This window comes from Homo sapiens, chromosome 12 (genome assembly GCF_000001405.40).
Source record: "Homo sapiens chromosome 12, GRCh38.p14 Primary Assembly".
NCBI lineage: Eukaryota > Metazoa > Chordata > Mammalia > Primates > Hominidae > Homo > Homo sapiens.
The window spans coordinates 72085854-72098222 of record NC_000012.12 but is presented as its reverse complement, the minus strand read 5'-3'; the positions used below and the strand labels follow the sequence as shown (position 1 = coordinate 72098222).

Sequence of the window (12369 nt, the reverse complement as noted above, 5' to 3'; positions counted from 1 at the left end):
ACAGTCAACCATAAAGAATCTCATCATAAAAAGTAATGTAGGCTGAGCACAGTGGCTCACGTCTATAATTCTAGCACTTTGGAAGGCTGAGGCAGGAGGATAGCTTGAGCTCAGGAGTTTGAGACAAGCCCGGGCGACATAGTGAGACTTCATCTCTATAAAAATAAAAAATAAAATAAAATAAAATATAAAGTATTGTGAATAAAAAAGAATTCATTATCATGACATTTTATCAATTCATGCTGAGGCCATATGTAAAATAACATATGCAGTGCATCCCAACCATTTATTCCATGAGTATTTTTTGACTGTCTACAAACAGCCCAATACTCTTTTAAGCATTTGGTAACAGGCCTAAAACCCCTTTCATCATGGAGCATTACCTTCTAGTATTTAACTCTGAAATCTGTGACAAACCACAAAAAGGAATGAAAGTGAAGGTCCTGGAGCTGACAATAAAATAGTCAATGAAGATTAGGTGCAGTGGCTCACGCCTCTAATCCCAGCACTTTGGGAGGCTGCAGCAGGAGGATTGCTTGAGGCCAAGAGTTCAAGACCACCCTGGGCAACATATCAAGACCTTGTCTCTACAAAAAAATCAAAACATTAGCCAGGCATGGTGATACACACCTGTAGTCCCAGCTACTCAGGAGACTGAGGTGGGAGAATCTCTTGATCCCAGGAGGTCGAGGCTGCAGTGAGCCAAGCTCAAAGCACAGAACTCCAAGCCTGGAAAACAGAGCAAAACTCTGTCTAAAAAAAAAAAAAAAAAAAAAAAAAAATTCAGTGAGAAAATGCTACTGCAAGGTAAGGAGGGACTAAACATATCTATAACCTCCATTCTAGAACTTTAAAGCCTTCCAGGAAACATCATCTGTTTCTAAAATTATGAGGTGACCCTCTAGACCAGTGCTCTTTCTCTATCTCCTGACTCCTATTATCAGAAGCATAGGTGGAACTGTTGAAGACTGAGCTTCTTAGTTTTCCTTTCCACTGCCTCTTACCCACCTGCCAGACACAATTTGTTCAAATTGGACAAGGATGATGTAGTATACACTATTAATTGTATTTACCTGGCATCCATTTATCTTTTCTTTTGAGAAAACCACCTCTTCCTTACTCTTTGTACATGTGGGTTGATAGAGAACAATCCAAACTCAGGTATGAAGGTGGGCATATGATCCAGTAGTAAGCTAATCAGTATATTTGGTAATAGACAGACAGATAATCGAATTGGCCAATAAGGGTTAGGCCCAGGAGTTTTGTTAGCACTCTTTTCTGCCATGCTCTTAAGTGGAGAAGATGTGAGCTAGAAGTTATTGACTGTATTTTGCCAATGCTAATGGCAACCTAGCCTGAAAGCAACAAAGGAAAATCAAGCAGGGAGGTGAGGAAGACTAGGTCTTTGTGACAATGCTTGAGATTCTGTAGTCGCCTATATCCCAGATCTTTCCTCAGGCTTTTTTGTTACATAAGCAAATAAAATGCTATTTTGGCTTAAGCTAGGTTGAGCTGGGCTATTCTTTATTCATGAGTGAAAGTGCTCTAACTAGTACAAAAAAGGAGGATGCAAAGGACCTGGGAGTACCTTGGGGAAGCAAGATGGAGGACTGGACAGAACAAAAACAACCAATTTTTTAGAAAAGGAATGAAAACTGAGTTGTTGTTTGCTTACTTTTTTGCCATCTTTGGCATCTGAGCTAAAAAGTGATCTTAGCCTTCAATAGGTAGAGGCAGTAGCACTGGTCTCAGAATTTGATAAAGATACTCAGGATTCTATTATGAAATAATCTCCATAACTGAGGAAGAAACAATCTAATTGCCCAAACTTGACATAATTGTTAAAGATTTTCTTTTATTAATACCAAAATAAAAGAGAAGCCTCTTTGTGTTTGCAGCGGACAAAGGAAATAAATAATAGCACATGATTACCCAAAATATCAGACAAGATGTTCTGGGCACAAATATTTAAGGTCCAAATGCTGGATTAGAGAAACAAATATTCCACTAAGTATATTAGTCAGAGTGCTCCAGAGAAATACAACCAATAGGATATGTGTGTGTGTGTGTGTGTGTGTGTGTGTGTGTATACACATAAGAAAAGATTTATCTTAAGGAATCAGCTCACATGATTATGGAGGCTGACAAGTCCAAAATCTGCAGTGTGAGCCATCACACTGGAGACTCAGTGAGATGCCAAAGCAGCAGTTCAAGTCCAAAAGCCATCTGCTGGCAGAATGCCTTCTTGCTCAGGGGAAGTCAATCTTTTGTTCTATTCAGCCCTTCAACTGATTGGAGGAGGCCCAACCACATTATAGAGGGCAATCTGCTTTACTCAAATTCCACTGATTTAAATGTTAATCTCATACAAAAACACCCTCACAGAAACATCCAGAATAATGTTTGACCACATATCTCGGACCTGCAGTCCAGCCAAGTTGACATATAAAATTAACCATCACACTGAGTATAGGAACAACAAGTCTTAGCAAATTTCTTCATGTCAGCAACTGAATTTTTTCTGTCTTACAAAATCCAGATCTACAGGAAAATATCCTACCAGCGTGCTATCACTGACTTCCAAGTCTGAAAGAAACAGAAAGCAGAGTTGAATATAATAGAAATAGCATTGTCCCAAAAGTGAGGGGACCTGAGTTCTAGTTGCAGATTTGGTGCTAACTTAACCAAGTCATGTCATCAAGCTGGATTTCAGCTTCCTCATCTCTAAGGTGAGGAGGGGGAGGGTAGCACTAGTGACCTCTATGGTACCTTCTAACTCAAACACTCAATTATGAGGTGGTTTTTAATCTCCTTTCTCATCTAGGACCACCAAACCTCACTCCTTCCTAGGATCTCTACAGTCTATATTTATAACACTTGCTTCAAATGCCAAATTGGATATTGTTCTCTTTTCCAGCTCCAACCTTTATGCTATTTAAATAAAAGTAGGACATGTGCTGCTGAGAATGGCAATAACAGGGGTCCGTGGGTGTTGGCAGCAGCCTAGCCAAGGTGACACTGCACTGCTAGAGACAGCCCACACTAAAGGATTTTCTCAGCTATAGCAGGTGAACATTTTGCTTTTCCAATGGAAAATAATTTATATCTAAAAGACAGAACTGGTGACAAAAACATCTCCTAGTCTGTCCTTCAGAGCTGGTATGTTCTTGAGAAATTTCTGCTGAGAAAAGATATTTAAAGATAATCAAGAAAGAATTTAGAGCAATAATGTCAACAAGATGGTGGAATAGGAGGTATCCCCCTTTATTCCCCCACAGCAATAACAGTTTCACAGCCATCCATGAACAAAAGTACCTTCGTGTTGGGATTCATGTAGGAAGTTGTGAAAGTCTGGCGGAACCTATGACTGAGGAGGACCACTTTGAAAGGGCAGACCCATGCCCAGGTGGCAGACTCACCAACTGTGTGAGTTCCTGGCTCCAGACCTAGAAAAAGCCTCATTCTCTTGTGTACTCAGCTGCAACCTTATTTGGCCTTGATCTGGCCACCAGAACCATCTGCCAGGAACCCAGATGCAGTCATGCCTACTAATGTTTTGCATGACAGACCTGCCGACCTCAGTCCCAGCTAGGACCCTGAAGTGGTCCTGTCCTTAAGCTCCAGCCCCTCTCAGCTACAGTCTGAGACCAATCCTGCCTATACAGGGACTGGAAGAGATATGCACCCATCTGTGTCCCTGCAGGCAGGCCTGCTGACTGCAGTCCCATAGCAGATCCAAAAGAGCCTGTAATTCAGCTTAAGCCCTCTCAGCTACCATTTGGGAGTAGTCCTGCCCACCTAGGGAACCACCAATAGATATGCTCATCAGTAACCCCAGAGGCAGGCCTGCAGACCCCAGCCTTGGCTATGGCCCCTTACTCAGCCCTGTAACTCAGTCCCCAGCCCCTCTCAGCCATAGTCCAGGGCCAGTCCTGCTTGGCCAGGGACTCACCTAGTGACCCAGTGACACCCCTTGCAGGAACCAAGAAAGCTACATTGTCAGTGCACCTGGTGTCATCTGTGGACTTTCATTCTAGCACCAGTCCTACTGGCCAAGGCCCCAGAGGCAGTCTGGTTCACCCAAGGACCAGACAGGAATTATGCCAAATTCAGTCCTGATAAGAGGCTCACCAACCACAGACTCCACTGCAAACCCAACAGCGGCCACATGACCCAGCTCCAATCCGATTCAACCACAATCCCAGAGGCAATCTCATCATCCCAGGGACCTGACAGAAGGTCTTTACCTGCCAAAACAGTCTGTAAAACTGGAAAAGACATTTGCTCCTTCAAATACAGATACCAATGCAAGGCCATACAGATCATAAAGAACCAGTCAAACATGACACCACAAAAGGAAACTAATAAAGCTTTAGTAACTGACCCCAAAGAAAAGGAGATCTACAAATGAGCTGAAAAATAATTTAAATAAGCATCTTAAAGAAGCTCAACAAGACGCAAGAGAAGACAGATAGACAACTAAACAAAATTAGGCAAACAATGAATGAACAAAATGAAAAGTTTAACAAAGAACTAGAAACCATAAAAACAAACCAAACAGAAATTCTAGAGCTGAAGAACACAACGACAGAAGTGAAAAATTTAATAAAGAGCTTGAATAGCAGAATTGATCTGAAGAAGAAAGAATTAAGAACTCAAAAACAGGTAATTTGGAATTAGCCAATTAGAGGAACAAAAAGAAAAAAGAATGAAAAGGAGTAAAAAAGTTTAGGGACCTATGGAACATCATCAAGCATACAAATATATGAATTTTGGGAGTTCCAGCAGGAAAAGGAAGAAAAACACAGAAAGCTTATTTAAATAAATAATGACTGAAAACTTCACAACTCTTGGGAGGAATCTAAACATCCAGATTTTGTGACACTCAAAGGACTCAAAGCAGTATTAATGCAAAGAAGAACACTGCAAGACAAATTACAGTCAAATTGTCAGAAGTCAAGGACAAAAAGGAAATTTTGAATGCAGCAAGAAGAAAGAGATTCATCACAAATAAAGAAACCATAGGCTATCAGCAGACTTCTCAGCAGAAACCTTCCAGACCAGGAGGAAGTGGGATAATCAAAGTGCTGTAAGAAAAAGCTTGCCAACCCATTCACAATTTAAAATAATTTCTAATTTTCAATAAAGTATCAAGCACCTCAGAATAAGAAATTACTCCAAGTGCATGCTGAGGGCTCCTACTATCAAAACTTAATCTCCTTCTCACAGGGGAAATGGAGAGGTTAATAAATCTCAAAGCCATACATACACATAAACTTCAAGGAAGCCTTGGGGAGGCTAAGATGGTGAGTTTCCATGGTAGAGGAGAGGAGTGTGCTAAAGAAGTTCTGAGGTTTGGAAACTGATAATACATGTAAGTTGTGACTTTAAAAGAATCATTAACTGTAGAGTATTTTTAGTACCTTTCTTCCAGCAATAGTCACCTGTTTTGACTCTTAAGCTCCTCTCCCATTCTTAGTACATGCATTTTGGATGGAACCAAGACTCCGTGGGAAAGCACATGCCCCTAGACTACACCAAACATCACATTGCACTCCGTTAGCCTCAGAGAACTGTTTGCATGCAGTCTAAGTCTTGGGACTTTTCTGGGAGCTAAAGAAATGATGCTCTCTGCTTCTAAGGGATTTCAGCCTGAAAGGATGCTATAGTCGCTTTTGCTTCCACACAGGAAGACCTGTCTGCGTATGGAGACAACAGATAGGAAGCAGGTCCCAGAGACAAGAAGAGAGAAGCTAGATCCTGATTGTACTGTTTGAGTTTCTCCATCCACTTGTGTTTGAAAACAGAGCTCCTAACTATGCTTTCCAGTTACATGGGCCAATAAATTTCTTTTTTGCTGAAGTCTTTCAACCAAAGGTTTTGATAATGTGACTTTCTTTTATAGCTACAAATTTCCTTTAAAGGCAATTCCAGAAGAGAAATTCAAAAACATTTTGAACCATGACATAGCCATAATTAAAATGAAATTTCCCAAAGTGATTACAGTGGAAAAGAAATTACTCATTCAGATGCATAGATTCTTACATATTTGGTAGTATGTTAGTCTTTTTTATTTTAACTCATGCTTTAGCTATTCTAAGATCAGATATTCTGTGGCCAACCGCCACTGCTGCTAGTTGAGACCATCATTACAGCAGTTACTACTGTTACTGCCTGAGACTGTCATTTGCAAGACTGAATGAAGGGATGAACACAGAAATGATAACAAAAGACAAAAGAAACTGTTTTAAGGAAAGGGTCCAGGGGAAGAAGAAGAGAGCTCTCTGCTTCTAGTGAGCAAAGGCAGCCCCTGAGCTTCTACAGCCCTTTGTATTTATTGGGTAGCAAGATCAAGGAGGAGGAGGTAACTATTGGTCAGCTGCTTAATTGATCATAGGTTCATATGATTACTAATAGGCTTCATATGTGCCTAGTCACAAGAAACACTTGTGCCTGGGTCGTGACTGCCCTCAGCATTCCTTCTGGGTGGCATACCCAGTTTGTCAGTTTGCCAACATTCTGCGTTTACGAGAACAGTTTGCTGTTTACTTATATAGCCCCCAGTGGTATACTGAGTTGATCACAACCCTCAGTCTTTCGGCCTCCAACAATATTCTTCTTGATGCAACCTGGGTCACGTGCACACCCTTGTAAAAGGGTGCTTGGGCACTGTTACCAGAAGAAAAGGATAAAATGGGTACTAGGCAGATAAAAGCAGCAGATATCCACTATAGTTACCTTTGAACAAGTGTAAACATTGGAATATAGAAAAGCATTTTGATTTTTCAGAATTTATCAGATTTTAAAATTTTTAAAAAGAGGCTTGTACCTTACATGAAGGATTTTAACTAGAACCCATAGGCTATTACAGGATGCAGGTTGTCCATAAAACCCCTGATAATAAATGCAAAATTTATGTGCATAACCATATAGGGATTTGAAGGAAGTGAATCTACAGCTTTTATTACACTCTCAGAGGGGTCCATAATGCAAGAAAGGGTTGGGAATCACTGCCTAGACTCGGAGGTGGTTTGATGACTAATAAATTCGGCCTGGCACAGTGGCTTTCATCTGTAATCTCAGCTCTTTGGGAGGCTGAAGAGGGAGGATCACTTGAGCCCAGGAGTTTGACACCAGCCTGTGCAACATAGTAAGACCCTGTCTCTGCAAAAAAATAAAATAAAAATTAACCAGGCATGGTGGTGCACGCCTCTAGTTCCAGCTACTCAGGAGGCTGGACAGGAGAATTGCTGCAGCCCAGAAGTTAGAGGTTGCAGTGAGCTATGATTGTGCCACTGTACTCCAGCCTAGGGACAGATTCAGCCTGGGGACAGAGTAAGACTGTCCCTTAAAAAAAAAAAAATCCAAGGGAAATAAATCCAATCTTTGAAATAACTAAAAATAAAACATGCACAACACACCAATAGGCCAAGTGGTTATCTCTAGAGATAACAGTTAATTTTTCTTTGTATCTTTTCTGCATTTTATCATTGTCTATAATAAGTATGAATTATGTCAGTAATATAAAAGGTTAATTTAACTTAAAAATATCTACCTATATCCCTGGGTCTACCATAAAACTCCCAGTCCTAACATAGCAATTAAGCCATTTCAAGCCATATTTAAGGCAATGGGCAGTACAAGAACATGAAGCATCAAAATTCAAAAGGCATAAAAACATGCTCCAAGTAATCAGAAAATTTTGCAGTTCTCTCTTAAACACACTAATTGCCCAAACATTCAAGATATAAAAGGAGAAAAAGTAAGTAAAACGTGAACAACCACTCCTAAATCAACCCTGCCATCAAATTCTATACTCATTCAAATGCTCCCCCAAGAGCTTTAAAACCTCAGTGGTGAATAGTGTCCTCCAATAAAGTGCATCATTTTGTTCAGTGCCAAAAGATTAATAAAACTTAATCAACATAATTACTTAAAAGTAGTCTCCATTGAGTGAGTCACGGTGGGAAAAGACTCATCTTTGTTAGTAGTAATTATCTCTGGGTAAATTATTACCTAACTATGCTCTCCCTAAGACACCTTCTTCCAGAGGGCTTTTACAGAGAAAACAATAGCATACTAGGGTTTATTTTTGGGTCACAATCCACTTGCCACAGTCTATGTCAACCTAAAATGTTTTCCTTCCTATTCTTCCTTTTTCCCAAATCCTCCTAAGATGTATTCATTTCTCTCTGCCAAATAAAAAGCAACACCAATAATGGCAGGTAGCACTAATGGAGTACTTAGCATAATATCCAGCATATAAAAATTATCTTTAGTCATCCATCATCTATTCATTGTTTTATTTACTCAACAAATATTTACTGAGTGTTCACCACTTGCCAAGCACCATACTAGGTTCTTAGTGTCTATCAGAAAGGAAAGCAGATGCAGATCCCAGTTCACATAGACTTCTCATTGCATGGGAGAGGAGCAATAAAGAATAAATGGAATAAGTAAGTAAATTATACAGTATGTAAGGAAGTGATAATAAAAAGTAAAGCAGAGTTAAGAGATTTGGAGTGCAATGGGTGGGAAGGTGGAGAGGAGTGGCAGTTAAGTGGTGCATTGTTAAATGGGGTCATCAGCATGGGCTTCATTAAGAAGGTATGATTTGAACAAATATTTGAAGATGAGGAAACTAAATAAGAAAATACATGAAGGAAGAGCATTTTACACTGAGAAAATTGTTAGTGCAAGAGCATAAATGATTTGTTCAAGGAACCCAAAGAAGTCTGCACAGATTGTGGCAGCATGAGATAGGAAGAGAGCAAAAAGTAATGAGGCCGGAGAAGTAAGGAGAGTATGGATTATGTACAACCTTGTAGGCCTTTGTAAAGGACTTTACTTTTCTGAGAGAAATGGAATCCAATGTATAGTGTTAAAAGAGTGATACAATCTGACCTACGTCTTTAAAGATCTCTCTGGCAGGCTCAAGCTTGCTGAGAAGAAAAAAACTGGAGAGGGCAATGCTGGAAACAATGTAGGTAACAAACTCAGATCAGGATGGCAGCAACAAAAGTGGTGAGAAGTGGCTGGTTTTAGGATATTCTTTCAAGCTAGAGCCACGTGGATGTAGTGTCTGAAAGAAAGAGGACAGTACAGATGACTTCAAGTGTTTTGACCTTGGAAACTAGATAGAGTTGCCATCGGTGAGATAGGGAAGGCAATGGGTAAAGGAGGTTTGAAAAGGAGGATCAAGATTTCAATTTTTGCACATATTGATTTGGAGATATCTAATAGCCATCCAAATGGAGAGGTCTAATAGGCAGGTGGATATATGGGTCTGAAGTTTGGAAGAAAGGTCTATATTAGAGATACATATTTAGGAATTAGCATATGGATAGTATTTGAAACCAAGAAGCTGACTGATAAGAGAAGGTAGAAGAAGGGAGGGGAGGAGAGAAAAGAAGAAGAGAAGAGAAGGGAGGGAAGAAAATGAAGCAGATCAAAGTCTGAGCCCTACAATGCTTCAATAATAAAAGCCCGGAGAGGAGAAAGAACCAGTAAAGAATGAGAGATGTGAGAAGAACAGAACTCAGGATGGGAGGTCTGTGAAGCATTTAATCCCTATAAGTAGCCAGATATTTCATCATTTCCATTTTACAGATGAGAGAACCGAGGCGCAGCAAAGTTATGCTGCTGAGGATCACACAGCTCTATAGCCTGGATTTTATTTAGATTTGTGTAATGCTGGAGTTCATACTCTAATCTAGAATGCTAAACTGCTACCTAACTAATCTTCAAGTCACATCTTTCCTCTAAAAATATTAGGTTTTTAATATACCTCTCAAATGCCCATTGTCAAACAGCCTATATACTTTAATGCTAAAATATTTGGATATCACTCACCATTCTCCCAGATCTTCTTTTCCCTTTCCACTCGCAATTTTTTAAAATGTGCCCTCAGTTCTTCAAGGTACATTAGATTCTCCTATAACTCTTTCCAGTCTTCCTCGTTATTATCATCTTTTGATCTTCACATCACTTCTCAAGATAACATTGAGGACTTAGAAGATGATTTAATTTGATATCTATGTGGATGACTATCCAACAGCCACTTTTCCACTGCTGGGACTTACTCAGCCTAAGCACCCAAGATGCTAGTACTTTATTCTGTAAACACAACCTCTTGGATTTCCTTGTCCCTCAAATAACCTTCTCCATCATTTCCACCAAATTTAGTGATAAACTTTTTCAAGTCCTCCAAATCCTGAACCCTCAATTTCCTTTCCTTTGGATACCTCCTTGACTTCACTTTTTTCTCCATTGAGCTGCAGCTTCCAAGACAACTCAACCTTGTAGAGATCCTGCAGTCCTACTCCTCCTGTTCTCCTACACCTCGGCTGGTAAATGGTGCTGGAGGAATCACACAACGGCCCAGATTGCTACTAGGTATAGTTTCTAAGATCAAATGCACTTCCAGTATTGCTGAGCAATATTTTTTTCATATTGTCTTTGCTCAATTTTCTCTCCCATTCCCTGAGCAGTTGTTCCAAGCCTTCATCACTCTAATCAATTCTTACCCACCCACTGCCGCCACTGCACATGCTATCCCATGCCATGTCACCAGAAAAACCTTATCTCCTCTTTATTTCAAAGAGAAAATAGAAGCCATCAGACACAAATTCCTGCTAGTTCCAAATTCCTGACCCCCAAAATTCATTCATTTGCATCTGTACTTACTCCTCCTTCCTTTCTTTCTGTCCCAGAGGAATAGATGACACTTCTGTGGTCTAAGATTAATCCCTAGGCCCATGCTCTGGATTATATCACCTCTCACCTCTTCACCAAGCCATGTTCTATTATTGATCCCATCTTTCTTCTGTGTCTTCAGGTTTTATCTTGCCCTTTGCTTTCTCCTGCAGCAAACAAACAGGCTCTAATGTGATAAGGTAAGCAAGTTTATATGGACTTTTCTTCTGATGCTCTTTGGGTCAGGAATGCCTTCTCTTCTGTCTCTCCACTGGAATCCTACTGTTCTTAACAGACTTGGCTCAAAAATTCCCTTAGCCGGAACATGTCACTCTATTTGAATTTTCATAGCATTTTTGGCACCATGTGGCATTCCTTACCACATACTGTACTATACTACAATTTGTCCTTCCTTTGTATCTTTCTTTTTGTTAGCAAACACTTTCATGTAGCACTTACAGTGTTTCAGATATTGTTCTAAATGCATTTTAAAATATTAACTCATTTAATAGCATTAACAATTACAAATATTTGCTCATTTAAGTATTTGTATATACTTTGCTGTATTATATTACAAAGTCCTTGAAGGCAAAAATCATAATGACATCTCTTGACCCCTCCAGTTATACTATCCCAGACTGGGTAGGCATTAACATAATAGGCATTTGATATGTTTTCCAAGTGTACAAATGCATGGAAATGACTTAGACATCATACAGTCTTCCTACCAATGTCAAAAATGCCATATCCTGACTAGTTCTGTAAAGTGAAAACATATCTTACATTGTCTTTTAGTTATGATTTATGGGGGGGAAATGTATACAGTCAGATTTACTTTTCAAAATCTCTCAGAAAGGTACAAAGTTGAAGTCCATTATGTTATCTTTTAGCAATTCTAGAATACCCAGTGTTCGAGTATTGGAAGAGATTTCTGTTTCATTTACTAAATGCCAAGTGAGGTAATTGGTTTGCATTTAGAGAGCGTGTTCTAAGACGATGATATATCTTTATATGCTAGAAATCACTTTCAGCTGGTGAGATACACAATGAGAGACATGTGTAAACTGGCACTGAGCTATAGAACTACAGATCTGTATTTCCTAACCCACAATCACTGACAGCATATGCTTATCAAGGAAAATGGCAAGCAGGTAGAATTGCCCAAATTGCTGGTGCAACCATGTCTCTTTGAATCTGAAGACATTAGTTTTAAGACACATAATTTTATATACTATTAAGAAGTTTTAAATGCTGTCAATTAAACTATGTCATGCCACCAGTTGTAAGAAGAATCCCAATTTTAGAAATGTTGACATGTGTTCTTAGAATCCATATGTACAGTATTAACATTTTTAACCAAACTGTAAGATTCCCAAGAACAAGAAACTTAATTCTGCTTACCCTATAGAGATTTTCATATGGTAGACAATAATTTTTGTTTAATTTAATCAAATGTAGATTAAAATCCAGTTAAAAGTTTCCCAGGGGGTTAGGGACGCTCTCTCAATCTATGAAGAGTCATAATGAATCAGTAGCTTACTTAAATAAGTTCAGAGGAAATTCCAATCAACCTGATAAGCAAATCCCTCCTTATTGGAAGTACAAAGCATAAAGTATTTTGATCCCCAAATGTAAATAAGTACCATCTCATTAAGCTAAATTTTTAAAACAGTC

The 12369-nt window shown here is 39.3% G+C and overlaps 1 protein-coding gene across 1 annotated transcript in view; it reads right to left on the bottom strand.

Moving 5' to 3' along the window:
• Positions 1-10957, bottom strand: part of TRHDE (thyrotropin releasing hormone degrading enzyme) — a 583493-nt gene extending 572536 nt beyond the window's left edge. Inside the window, exon 1 of the mRNA XM_017019244.2 lies at positions 10784-10957. The gene's annotated coding sequence lies outside the window, so the exon portion shown is untranslated. The remainder of the gene's footprint in view (positions 1-10783) is intronic.
• Positions 10958-12369: the final 1412 nt, after the last annotated feature.